The sequence below is a fragment of the Homo sapiens genome, chromosome 3 (genome assembly GCF_000001405.40).
Source record: "Homo sapiens chromosome 3, GRCh38.p14 Primary Assembly".
NCBI classification, from domain to species: Eukaryota; Metazoa; Chordata; class Mammalia; order Primates; family Hominidae; genus Homo; species Homo sapiens.
Window position 1 is genome coordinate 133,456,919 of NC_000003.12, and position 13,767 is coordinate 133,470,685.

At 42.8% G+C, this 13,767-nt stretch overlaps 1 protein-coding gene and 1 long non-coding RNA gene across 14 annotated transcripts in view, besides 3 other annotated features; one reads left to right on the top strand and one right to left on the bottom strand.

The window, feature by feature from the left end:
- The window catches only part of BFSP2 (beaded filament structural protein 2), a 75,153-nt gene that overhangs the window by 56,863 nt on the left and 4,523 nt on the right, over window positions 1-13,767 (top strand). For both annotated transcript variants that reach the window (NM_003571.4, XM_017007315.2), the window contains exon 5: window positions 9,910-10,041. In NM_003571.4, coding sequence (NP_003562.1) covers window positions 9,910-10,041 — 132 coding nt within the window. The remainder of the gene's footprint in view (window positions 1-9,909; window positions 10,042-13,767) is intronic.
- Window positions 1-13,767, bottom strand: part of BFSP2-AS1 (BFSP2 antisense RNA 1) — a 64,708-nt gene that overhangs the window by 30,517 nt on the left and 20,424 nt on the right. The gene's annotated exons all lie outside the window — the stretch shown is intronic.
- Window positions 9,833-10,102: an enhancer, noted in NCBI's record as "active region_20543". NCBI's record gives its function as "activates an Ori minimal core promoter by ATAC-STARR-seq in GM12878 lymphoblastoid cells {active_cell/tissue: GM12878}" and the evidence as "EXISTENCE:reporter gene assay evidence [ECO:0000049][PMID:35858748]".
- Window positions 11,663-11,712: a silencer, noted in NCBI's record as "silent region_14745". NCBI's record gives its function as "represses an Ori minimal core promoter by ATAC-STARR-seq in GM12878 lymphoblastoid cells {active_cell/tissue: GM12878}" and the evidence as "EXISTENCE:reporter gene assay evidence [ECO:0000049][PMID:35858748]".
- Window positions 12,575-12,734: an enhancer, noted in NCBI's record as "active region_20544". NCBI's record gives its function as "activates an Ori minimal core promoter by ATAC-STARR-seq in GM12878 lymphoblastoid cells {active_cell/tissue: GM12878}" and the evidence as "EXISTENCE:reporter gene assay evidence [ECO:0000049][PMID:35858748]".

Below are 13,767 nucleotides of genomic sequence, written 5' to 3' on the forward strand. Positions count from 1 at the left end.
CTTACAAACAATAATTTTCCCTGTAAACACAGACATTTTATACAAGCTACTCTGTCTAGACTTTTTCTATTCTTGCTTTTACCAACAAGAGTCAATATTTTCTAAGATATATGAAGCTGAATTAAAACAGGCACTGCCACTCTGACTCTAGACTACAAGATGACCTCTTGTGCTATTGCCATGTTAACCACCTGGGAAAGTTCCTTTCCAGGGGAACAGCAAAAGCAGGACGCCTGACAGCATCTGTAATCTAGAGGCTCCTGTGTGCCAATGAGCTGGCTGGACTCCCTGAGGGCTCTTCAGTGAAATAAGCCATGGCTGTAGCCAGTGTGCTCAAGGCAAACACTGAACGGGGATCCCGAAGCATCTTCATATCTCTGAATCTCACAGAGAGCTTCACAAAAGGGCCCTGTTTGCTTTTATGTCTTTTTAAATTGACTTTTATTTTATTTCAACATGTATAATAGATAATACATTCACTTAGTTCAAAATTCAAAACATACAAAAGATATAAAGTGAAAAGTGCTATCCAACCCATGTCCTAGCTACCGTTTTTTTCTATGGGGGTCAATCAATGTTATCCTTTTCTTGTATGTCATTTCAGAAACATTTTACCCATATACAAAGAAATATATATATTTTTTTTCCTGTCTTTTTACACAAGTAGTATTCAGAACATACTGCTTTATGACTGTATGATATTATACCACAGGGGGCAGCAAACTCTGGCCCACAAGCCAAATCTGACCCATTGCCTGTTTTTACAAATAAAGTTTTATTGGAACATGACCATCACATTCATTTACATATCATCTATGGCTGCATTTGCACTACACAAGTGGAGTTCAATAGTTGCAACAGAGACCATATGGCCTGCTAAGCCTAAAACATTTACTATCTAGCTAGTCACAGAAAAAGTTGTCAACCTCTGTTCTAGCTAACAGATGCCCCAGAATTTGTTTAGCCTGTTCCCTACTGCTGGGCACTGAGGGTGGTTTCCAATCTTTTGCTATTAGAAGAAATTAGTCACTAACATGGTATACCTCTCATTTCCATATATAGAAATGTATCTGTTAAATGAACTTATAGACATGGAATTGTTGGCCCCAAAAGTGTGTGCACTGGTAATTTTGATAAATATTGCCAATTGCTCTCTACAAAGATTATAACAATTTACATTTCTATCAGAAATATTTGAGAGTGTCCATTTCCCCATATCTTCACCAATACTTTGTGATCTTTGCTAATACTATGGGTTAAAATGCATTTCTTACAAATTGCTTTTGTGTGTACTAGCAGATCATATCTTTTGCCCATTTGGGTTACTGTAGTTGTATGCTATAGTAGCATATACCAGTTGGTGCGGCTGCAAAGAGAATAGGGAAAATCAAGAATCAGAGCAGATTTTAAAAGGAAAAACCAAAAGACTGTCTCATTGAGGTAGGTACTGCCTACTCTTTGCCTCTTCTTTTCTCTAGTTAAGACAACACACAGGCTGGGTGTGGTGGCTCACTCCTGTAATCCCAGCACTTTGGGAAGCCAAGGCAGGCAGATCACTTGAGGTCAGGAGTTCAAGACCAGCCTGGCCAACATGGTGAAACCACGTCTCTACTAAAAATACAAAAAATTAGCCGGGTGTGGTGGCACACACATGTAATCCCAGCTACTGGGGAAGCTGAGGCATGAGAATCACTTGAACCCAGGAGGTGGAGGATTGCAGTGAGCCAAGAACACTCCACTGCACTCCAGCCTGGGCGACAGAGTGAGACTTTGTCTCAAAAAAACAAACAACAAACAAAAAAACACAGACATTGTAGAGCGCTCTCTCAGGCCCTTATCTTCTTATGTTGTGTGTTTAAACTCACAACTGGTTGACTACCAATATCTGGGTAACTACATAGGGGATCACCCAACATTGCAACCTCTTTCTTACATCTTCTACCAAGGAATCTCCACTCACTTATTCATTCAAAATCTGTTTGTCAAGGACAAACCAGGTGCAAGGCCCTGACTTGATGCTATGGTTCCTGAAGTCCCTGACTTCAAAGAACGCTCGTCCCAGACTACCTGACTGTGCTGATCTCAAAGCATACCTTAGATATTTTTTAACAGATTTTTCCCATAAAAAGTGTAAGGACTGGCCAGGCACAGTGGCTTATGCCTGTAATCCTGGTGCTTTGGAATGCGGAGGCAGGAGGATCCCTTGAGGCCAGGAGTTTGAGATCAGCCTGGGCAACATAGTAAGACCCCACCTCTACAAAAAAAAATGTTTTTAATTGGTCAGGTGTAGAAGCACGCAACTGTAGTCCTAGCTACTCAGGAGGCTGAGGCAGGAGAACTGCTCGAACTCAGGAGGTCGAGGCTGCAGTGAGCTATGATCTTATCGCTGCACTCCAGCCTGGGCAACAGGGTGAGACCCCGTCTCAAAATAAAATAATAGAAAAATCTATTTTTCTCTTTAGAATTAGACTCATTGCTGAGCCTCTTCAGCTGATTTTATCAAGAGGATGAGCTTACTTATTACAAGGGGGCAGCAAGGTCACAAAGCCATTTACTCCTCTGTGTTTTGTTTGGCAGCTCCAACGGAGGCTGGGAATTGGTCCTACACTCAAACAGCAGCTTCAATAGCTGGGCAGTTCTTGTGTAAACTCACAGAGAAACTTGTAGCCCAGCCGGGCCAGCTCCTCTGCCAGTGTTGAAGTTTCATTGAGTGAGGCGTGCACTTCTTTTTAATCCCCGCTGAGGAGAGCCCATGTTGCTAGTGCAGACTGGATGGCATCCAGCCTTCTCCCAAATAAATCCTACATCTGGCTGAGGAAGGTCGGGAGTGTGTGCTGCCTGTCAAAAGCTATCCTTAGCTAAATAACATATGACACCACGTAACTGTAAAATGACTTACAACTGTTATAATAACGATAGCTGATCCTCTTAATGAAAAGGAGATTTGATCTCATCCTATTCCTGGTAGATCCTCCTCTTCTTCCCTAGTCCCTAGCATGTGCCTGGCCTACATTGTAAACCTTCAGTAAATATTGTTGAGCACATTCTAGGTGTAAAAAGCTATGTTAGGTCTCCAAAAGGGGCAGAGGGGTGAGTAAGAAGTTGTTCCTATAAATAAGGAACCCACAGTCCAGTGTGGATGTTGGCTGGTGTACCTGTGGGAGGCAAGAAATGGGTAGAAAGGCTACTCTTATACAAGGCAGGATGAAATTTTCCACAAAAGCAGAGCCAGCCAAGCTTTTATGGAGCATCTACCAAGGGTTCTAAGCACCCGACAGGTACGTTCTCATTTAATCTTCCCAACATGAGATAGGTATTGCGATTTTAGCATTTTATAGAGGAGGAAACTGAAGCACAAAGAGGTTAGGTAATTTGCCCAAAATTACACACTTAGAAAGTGGCAACACTAGGATTCAAATTACACATTCTGACTCCAGAATCCACACTCTTAACTGTTAGTTTGAACTGGACAGACCACATGAATGGGGGGACCTTAATTTGGTTTTTAAAAGATTTTTTTGTAGAAACAGGATTTCAGTATGTTGCCCAGGCTGGTCTTGAACTACTGGCCTCAAGCAATCTTTCTGCTTTGGCCTCCCAAAGTGCTGGGATTGCAGATGTGAGCCACCATGCCCAGCTGATTTCTTTTTTAAGAATAAATAAGTGACATCTTGTGGAATGTGAGGTTGGAGAGGCCTTTGTCCCCGGGGGGCTAAAAGTTATGCCAGACTTCTGTTGGGAGCTTTTCAAACCAAGCGTCTGTGCCCTCCTTGTGGGATTCTTCTATGACACAAGATAGGGAACCCCTGTATTCCCACGGGACCATTGTTTACCTTTCTCCATGAACAGCACGATGAGATTAGCATGATCTCATGAAATCTGAAAAGTGCTTAAGAGCCAAGGCAGGTAGCTGCATTCTGCAGTAGAACAATGCTCATATAAAGCAATTGATCACCAGTTGCAAAAACCAGAGTGCTCGAGTGACTTGCTCAAACCTGCACAGCAACTGCTTAGTGAAAGGCAGAAGACACATGAGGCAGACAGCTCATCTGGATACATGATCTGCTGAGAATGCACTTGCAATTTCAAAGACCAGGAAGTATCAACATTCTCTCTCCTCACTCTCCCTCCTCCTGAACACTCGCCTTCCCCTCACATTGCAAAGGTAGCGTTTCTGTCAGTTCTGGGTCATTGCCAAGGGTGTTTTTAGGAATGGCCATCCTAATCAGCAAAGTGGGTCAGGCTTGGACTTGGAGATGGTTCTTTTCCTCTTTCCCAGTCCTCATTTGTATCTTCAAGAGTCAGGCTCTCAAATACTTAATTATTACTTACTTAGAACACATTGCTTTTCTCTTCTCACATCCTTCATGTGCAAAAACATGCTAATTTAATTTGAAATTTTTGAAATTTGAAAATCTTTATTATGTTTCAAAATGTCGACATGCTCTCCTGCCCCAGAAGTAATTGCACTCCTACCCTGCTGGAGTGCAAACACGGGCGGCTCAGGTCCTGTGCAGTTTCAAAGCCTAGGGATCAACATATCTGAATTTCATCACACACCCTAACAACTGCACCGGGCAACAAAACACAGCCCCACCTTCCTATCCTCAGGGGCTAGATGACACACCTACTCTCTGGTCTATGAGAAGAAATCTGGAGGCACAGGGTTGAAATGGAAACAGAAATAGAGTTATAATAACCAGAAAGCACAAATCTAAAAAGCCATTGGATAAAAATGTGTAATACTTTTAGGTGAATTACTTTTAGCAGTGGTTACTTTAGGTGAGTTAAAGCAATTAAGTGGGAAGTATCTCTTGTGGTGAGATGATTTGAGAAGGAACACAGTGACATTAAAACTTGTAGTGATCAAATTACATTCTTTTGCTCTTTCAATCTTAAACTAGAAGAAAGCCTCTGTTCAGTGCTGGGAGGTCTTTAACACCTCTGTTGTACTTATTTATCTCCCCTTTCCACAAAGAGAAAGCAGGCCTCAGGACTTAGCAGCTTGGCAGTCAATGGTAGCTGGAATTTAATAACAGTGGTTGGTTATAACTTTATTAATTTTTTAGTTATCCTCTACCCACTGCAAGGGATACTGTTTCATTGGTTTCTGCAGCGATCTAGAATTTTGCTTCCATGGACCAGGCAGGCATGGACCTGGGAGTGCAGATTTCTGAGCTGTACTCAGGATCCCCTGCATCAGAGCCCACATTTTCTCAAGATCCTAAGGTGACGCTCATGCGCATTTAACCTATAGTTTCCATTTTAAACTAACCTACAGTTTACAGATAACTAACCTACAGTTTCCATTTTAAACACGTTTATTTGTAAAAAAAGAGTGAATTGGTTTAAATAAAAATAGCATGAATGAGTATTAAGAGAGTGTGAAAAACCATGTCAGTGGTGCAAGAACATTTGAGAAACACCTAAATACAGTATTTTTGCTAATGAAACTAAGACATGGTGTTTCAGCCAAGAAACCAGTAAATATCACGGAAGCTGCTCACTGGATTGAGAGGGGACAAATCATGTGAGGGACTGTGGCTATAGCCTTGGCCAGCAGCTTTACACTAGACCTGCACACCAAGGCTTTGAAACTTGCCTCCATTCCTTCCCTGGCTTTTCCGTATGGAGTGATGGTAAATGTTTCACAACTGCTTTCTGGGTGAAATATATGTATATGTATATATGTGCCAATCACATTCACAATACTGCTTAAGGGTAATGTAACAATTCCCACTGATTTTTTTATATATAATTTTAGAAATAACACAAATTTTAAGACAAAATACTTTGCTATTTCAATTACACCTATAACTTCAGCATGACTTGCTATTTCTTGGAAAATTCACCAACCATTTTTTATAATTCTATCATCAACAATAGTATCACAAAATCAGACTACAAAAAATGCTTGATTACTAATTTCTGATTAAGCAAAAAGTCACTCACATTATTTGTTACTGGTGGCAAATCTGTAGGGGGTCTGAAGCAACCTCAATTCTTGCCTCCTCAGAAGAAAGAATTCAACTGAAGGGCATAAAGCAGAAGAGACGGAGGCAAGTTTTAGAACAGGAGTGAAAGTTTATTTAAAAACTCTAGAGCAGAGACCGGGTGCGGTGGCTCACGCCTGAAATCCCAGCACTTTGGGAAGCTGAAGCCGGCGGATCAACTGAGGTCAGGATTTCGAGACCAGCCTGGCCAACATGGAGAAACCCCATCTCTACTAAAAATACAAAAATTAGCCGGGCATGGTGGCAGGCGCCTGTAATCTCAGCTACTCGGGAGGCTGAGGCAGGAGAATTGCTTGAACCTGGGAGGCAGAGGTTGCGGTGAGCTGAGATCGCACCATCGCACTCCAGCCTGGGGGACAAGAGCAAGACTTCATCTCAAAACAAAACAAACAAAAAACTCTAGAGCAGAAACAAAAGGAAGGAAATACACTTGGAAGAGGGCCAAGCAGGCAACTTGAAAGACAAGTGCGCAGTTTGACCTTTTGACTTGGGGATTTATACGTTGGCATGCTTCTGGGATCTTTCATCCCTTCTCCCGATTCCTCCCTTGGGGTGGGGTGTCCGCATGTGCGATGGCCTGCTAGCACTTCGGAGGGGAGCATGCGCAGTGTGTTTACTGGAGTTGTACACCTGCTCATTTAAGGCATTCTTCTCTTACCAGCTAAATGCCCCTAGGAGGTCATATACCAGTTTAACTCTGCCATTTTGCCTTTTAGTGTGCATGCTTGAGCTCACTTGCCCAACTCCTGAGATCTTATCAGGAAGTTGCTGATCACCAGTTTCAGGTTTTTTCTATCTTTAGGGAGACTGCTTTTCCCTGCCAGCTGTGACAAGTTATTATTTTAGAGAGACTGTTAACAACCACCTGACCATCACCTGATGGTCACCTGACATTCTTAGTTGGTTGTGGGGGTGCCTCTCCCGCCCTGTTCATGTCTGACTGGCTACCTATTAGCTACCTCTGTTACAGTTACCAGTAACAATGTAATTTAATTTCTAATGATGGCTGTGTTTAGCAGTCAACTTACAACATTCCTGAAAATTTAAAAATCAGCTCCCGTGAGCTGTTAGGAGCAAGTTCTAGCTCACTACTGCTCCCCGCCACCCTCTGTAGCTACATTGTCTGACTCCATTTGCCTTCCAGGATGCCCCACCTCCTGCCTCCTACCTACCTACACAGCCCATCTGGCCAGGAACCCAACCCCAAAGAGGGGAGAAAAACTGGGGTATTGATCATAAGAACTTGGAAGACAAGGAGTATACTTCAGAATGATCCACCTGAGTTTGGGGAAGATACCTCCAATTTTAGGGATCTTAAATTGGTAGATTGGTGGAGATGACAACATTAAATACTAGTTGAGAGCACATCTCTGGGTCTGCTGCTGGGCTGGAATCCTCTTTCTGTCTCTCACTGGCCATATAATCTTGAGCAAATAACTCAATCTCCCTGTGCCTCAGTTTCCTATGAGGATAATAATGACATCTCCTTCATAGGGTTGTAAAGATTAAATTAGATACTTGATTAAAACTGTTAACAATGTGCTTGGCACAGAATAAGTGCCTAATACATATTCTTTATTATTAGTAGTATTTAACTATTACTATTTAATTGTTACTAAATATTTGACTCTTCATAGTAGCATTTAACTATTACCACTTTGTTATTTAACTATTAAATAACAAAAGTTATTTGTTGGCCACTATTACTTTTTACATTTGGAAAATATATAGTCAGTGTTTTCATGCTTTTAAGATTCTAAAGGCTTCAGCATGCTTAATCTGCTGGAAGCCTCACAGTGACCACAGGAGGGAGTCATTATATGATAATGAGTATTATTCTCCATTCATTGTGGTCTGTGTTCCATGGGCAGAAATTGAGACTCTGAGAAGCTGAATGATGGCTTAGGGACACAAGCTGTTGGCTAACCAGTCAGAGCTGGGTCCAAGGCTTCTGTTCTCCTTCAGCGACTCCAAAGCCTTTAATGGTCATTCTTTGGGCTCTGTAAAGACCAAACAGTAAGAATTGGAGGTGCTACTACTGAGCTATGAGCCACTTGACTTGGGGTTTCTTTTTTTTTTTTTTTTTTCTTTTTGAGATGGAGTCTCACTGTCACCCAGGCTGGAGTGCAGTGGTGCCATCTCGGCTCACTGCAACCTCCGCCTCCTGGGATCAAGAATTCTCTGTCTCAGCCTCCCGAGTAGCTGGGACTACAGGCTCACGCTACCATCACGCCTGGCTAATTTTTGTATTTTTAGTAGAGACGGGTTTTCACCATATTGGTCAGTCTGGTCTTGAACTCCTGACTTCAGGTGATCCACCCACCTCGGCCTCCCAAAGTGCTGGGATTACAGGCATGAGCCACTGCACCCAGCCTTGACTTGGGGTTTCTAGCCAGTCCATTAGATTGGACTGTCTTTGGACTATTCTGTAAATAAATATTCATATGTGGTAAAAATGGTAATTCCAGAAAACCGTAACCTAGGAAAGTAGAGTTTTTTCCCTCCTCCATTCTTGGCTAGGAGACGTTCCATCAGACTGCATCGAAGAAAATGGGGATGATCTCTCATTTTTCATCTTTTCCCCAGAACAGAGGAGTAACAATGACCTGTTCCCCTGAATATATGGGGAGGGATCAGACTCTGTCCATCTTGCTCTGGGGAGAAGTTAAAAACACAGAGCTTCCCTTTGTCTGGGTCACAGTTGTGACTAGACACATGGTTTTCACAAGGAAACAGGCACTATCAGATTGACAGAGATCAAGTTGGATAACTCCTGGTTTGAGGGCGGTATGGGACAACTGGCACTGTCTTACAATGCTGAAATGGATTTCAAGTTTTCCGAAGGGAAATTTGCCACTATTCACCAAAATTAAAAATATATACCCTTTCTAATCAGCAGTTCTACTACAAGAACTACTTTCTCAAAGACATGCTCTTGTATGAAAAATAAGGGATCAAAGCTTTTTCTTTGCACCATTGTTTGTAATAGAGAAAGAAAGACTAGAAACAATCTGAGTGTCCACCAGCAGAGACTTCTAAATACATTGCAGCCCTTCCAAACAAGACAACACTGTGCAGCCGCTATAAAGAATGTACTCAATTTCTATTAGGTTGGTGCAAAATTAATTGCTGTCTCTGCCATTGAAAGTAGTGGCGAAAACTGCAATCGCCTTTGCACCAACCTAATATGTACTGATATAGAATAATTTCTAAGATACTTTAAGTACCAAAGCACGGGGGGGGCAATACATATTTATTTATAAATATATAAACTATTTCTGGAAAGAGGAATAAGAAACTAGAAACAAGAGAACTGGATAATTAAGACACAGGAGAAAATGAGACTTTATAGTCTGTAGGAAATCTTTTGAATTGTATTTCATTTGCAGGCATCGTATGTTCAAAATAAATACATTTTTGTATACAAGTTGGTGAAGGGACCTGTTTAAAAAAAAAGACATTTCCAGCCAGGCGTGGTGGCTCACGCCTGTAATCCTAGCACTTTGGGAGGCCAAGGCATGCGGATTACCTGAGGTCAGGAGTTCAAGACCAGCCTGACCAACATGGTGAAACCCCATCTCTACTAAAAATACAAAAAAAATTAGCCAGGCCTGGTGGCGGGTACCTGTAATCCCAGCTACTCGAGGCAGGAGAATCGCTTGAACCCAGGAGGAGGAAGTTGTGGTGAGCTGAGATCGCACCACTGCACTCCAGCCTGGGCTACAGAGCGAGACTTCATCTCAACAAAAAAAAAAAAAAAAAAAAGATGTTTCCACGTGACAGCTGTATTTCCTCTGGTTAGAGGCAGTGGAGTGGTGATTAGAAAGGCTGGGAAGGAAGGATGGGCTCAGATTTCTGATCATCACCGCTCACACTGAGACCTGACTCTCCACAGCAACAGGCGGAGGTGGCCCACATGTCCCAGACCCAGGAGGAGAAGCTGGCAGCTGCCCTCAGGGTGGAGTTACACAACACTTCGTGCCAAGTCCAGAGCCTCCAGGCTGAGACAGAATCCTTACGTGCCCTGGTAAGTGGGCCAAGGAAAGACCTGGTGTCCTTGTGCTAATTTTAACTCTCTACTGTCAAATTCCAGTATTATGGATCTTAGTTTCCAGGGGATTCCCATCTCACAGCATATGAGTTTTGAGGCCTGAAATGTCTTCTGACTCCCAAGGATCATCAGATACTGAATCACAGCAGGTGCAATAGACACTGTAGTGCCCCACGGAAATATCTCTTACCAGGCTGCTGCAGTAAATGTTGACTGTTAACATCTGCAGCCGCCCCTTTTCAGCTGCCCCACTGCTCCAGAGACCTGCCCTTACCCACACTGAGGACACCTGGCCCAGAAGGTTAGGCCCTGCCCCCCAAGGCTCAGCCAGTGACTAAGAGGGGGCTTTAAAATTAAAAGCCCAGCCCTTTTGCTTCAACATGGAGCTAGCTCCATGCTATAGAGCTCTCCATAGGACCAGGCTGTAGCCAGATTCCAGAGACCACATCCTCGCTTAGTGCCTTCCTCTGCCCTGTCCTGCTTTCCTCACTCCCCCTTTTCCTGAGAGTACTCCTTAATGATTTGCGAGTTCCAGGATCCCTAACTCAGGCTCTGCTTCTGGAGAACCCAACCTGAGACATCTAGTAAGCTCTCAGACTCACTGGGATTTGCAAGCTCGTCTCTTTCATTATTAATTATTTATTAAAATATTAAAATAATAAAATGTATTAATAATGAAGCAATCCACCCTCTGATCTCTGGAATGGATTGAAGTTCTATTTGGGTATTAAACATCTTTTCTTAGATGTCCCCTCCAGGAGGTCATTTGCATTGTTCTAACTACAGCTTCGTTGGTGCAAATCAAAGGTTGGTCCATGTAATCCTTGTGCAGCTGAGATGGCCTGGAGTCAATGAGGCGCATGATAGGATGTAGGTCCGTGCAAGCATGTATAAGAAAAGGATCTGAGGATCTGAGGGGAGGAAAATCAAGAGTAATAGAGTCAGAAGGGCTCAGCTCCTCCATTTATCCCTTGGGTAAAGAGGCAAATCCCTGAACCACAGTTTCCTCTTCTGCAAAATGGGTATGATAGTCACAGTCCAGCCCACTTCTCAGTGTTTCTAGGGGGATCCAATGTGTGGATGCACATGAGCATGCTCTTCTGACTCTTAGCATTATTTTGAGAACTTGCTATGTTCCTAGAACTGTACCAAGTGCTTTGGAGACATAAAACTAATGAGATATGGTCCCTGCCTCCAAAGAGTTAATGTGGCTTCGGTGGAGGAGCTGATACAAATGTGAGGGAGGGGCAGATGGGAGAGAGCACCCCTGCTGTGGGAGTCAGGAGGTAGACTTCGTGGTGGGTGCTCTCCTCACTCACTAGCTATGTGAATGAACAGCTTTCATTTTCTCACTTGTAAAGTGAGGATCTATTTTGGCTATCATATCTAGTTACTGTCTTAGTAGCTTAAGACAACAGTGAATCACTTGTTCTCTCATTCTGTGATTTAGGCAGAATTCAGCAGGGATAACTCTTCTCTGTATCATGTGGCCTCTGCTGGGGCTGGAACACCCAAAAATGGCTTCTTCATTTAGCTTCTCTGGTGACTCAATTGTGCATCTCTTTTTCTCTCTCCCTGTGACCACTCCGTGTAGCTAGCTTAGACCTCCTCATATCATGACAGCCTGACATAGTCAAACTTCTGATATAGCACCTGAGTGAGCACAGAAGCTACCAGGCCTCTTAACACCTGGGCTCGAAAGTCTCTGGACATCACTTATACCACATTCTAGTGGTCAAAGCAGTCACAAGACTATCCTAGATTCAACAGGGAGAGAAATAAATTCAACTTCTTGATGAGACAATGGCAAGGTCACATTGAGAAAGCGATTGTGGAGTGGAGATAATTGTTGTAGCTGCCAATGCAAGTGTGAGCCACTTTAGGATCGTAATAGAATTTACCTCATAACGTCATTGAGATGATTAATTTGATAATGTATGTCAAGCCCTTAGCACAGTGCCTGGCAGTTAGTGAGCAGTCAATAAATGCCATCTATTATTAATTATCATATAAAATTGCTATAATAGCTACTAGTACAGTAACTCCAAGTTGGCATCACCAGCCACCTGGTCACCTCACTTAAACCCAGGGTCCTAACCATTGGGGAAAAAAATGGAAAAATAATTTACACTCTCAACCAGAAAACTTCAGAGTAGTGCCATTCTGTCTATGCCCATAGCCCAGAACAGGCTGCCTCTGTTCCCTGCTGGTTCTAGTAGATTATCGTTCTGGTCACGGGGCCTTGCAGCCAAGGTGAGGAGCACAGATTGGGACAAAATAGGTAACAAACTCTCATACAGTTTTCAGATACAGGAAGTTCATCCAGCCATTCCTGTTATTCTGTCAGAGCGATCTGTGCACACACAAGGCCCCCGCAGCTTATATAAGCTTCAGACAGCCAAGCTGGCGAGACTTTCGGCCCCCTTTGCCAATAAGGCACTATTTGCATTGGAAGCTAGGCACAAATAATGGTGCTTGAGACCTGCTGAACTCTGTGTCCAGTCAACTCAAATCAGGAATGGAATTCAAGGCCAGAAGTCACAGAAGGTCACTATTTTACTTTCTGGAGGATTTTGCAATCCCAGAAAGTCCCTTCAAATCTCCAGAGACCTGCAGAATAAGTGTGCTTCTGTGATCTCAGCTTGTTTGCTGGTGCTGTCTGCGTGGCTGACTGAGCCAGTGTACTTGCCTGCAACAGTAGCCTGATCATAGTCACTCCAGCTCAAGCATCTCTGGGAGAACCAGGCATCCTCTCTTTCTGCCATAATGTCAGGGACTTAGGTGGGGAAGCTGGATTCGGACTTTAAGGGTGAGATGGAAGACACATATAACCTTTGGCTGGGGTTCCAATGAATGCCCTGTTGGCAGTGGGTCCTAAGTCACCATGGAAAAACCTCAGGCCACATGAAGAACTCACCTAGAAGATGGAGCAAAAACTATAGACAGATGATCCAACCGTGATTCTGTGAAGCGTGTTCCCAAATCACAGATGTTACAAATCCAATGTCAACAACAACTAGTCACAAGTTAAGTACTTTCATGCATAAACAAAGAGAGAAAACCCAGGGAGGTTGGAACAAATGATGCTCAAAGTCAAGGTGGCCATTTCTGCATCCTCACTGCTATAGAAAGGTTTCCAGATTCTATTAGTTAAATAATAACCCTAGACCAGATACTGATCTAGATTTATTTTCTAGTGATCACGTTTTGCCTCTTATAAATATGCCTCAGACAGATGAGAATCTGACTCAACATTCTCATATCCTATGGAATTAAGAAGATTTAAATAAGGTAATATGGTGATCCATGCTAACAGCAGTCATGATTCAAGATGGTGTCGTGACAGAATTTTCTGTTTCATCCATAGTGGTCATAAGGGTGTAAAAAGTCTCCTCCTGGAGGACAGGGTACAGAAACTTGTTGCATCAAAATTTAATTCAATCCAATTTAGAAAGATATTTGTTTTTTGTGTGTTATATTAAAAAGCCAGATGCTAAAGTATAGGTGAACCATAGTTAAAACTATTGGAAAATGTTGAACACAGATACAGTTTTTTAAAGGGGTTTATTGATTAGCTCTGTAGTTTTCAGGACATGGTGCATGGGAAGATGAGAAGAAAGAAGTTTCCAGTCTAATGGGGAGACATAGATAGTGCAATAAGTGTAACCATAATACAAGTGCTATCATCCAGGGCAATCTACA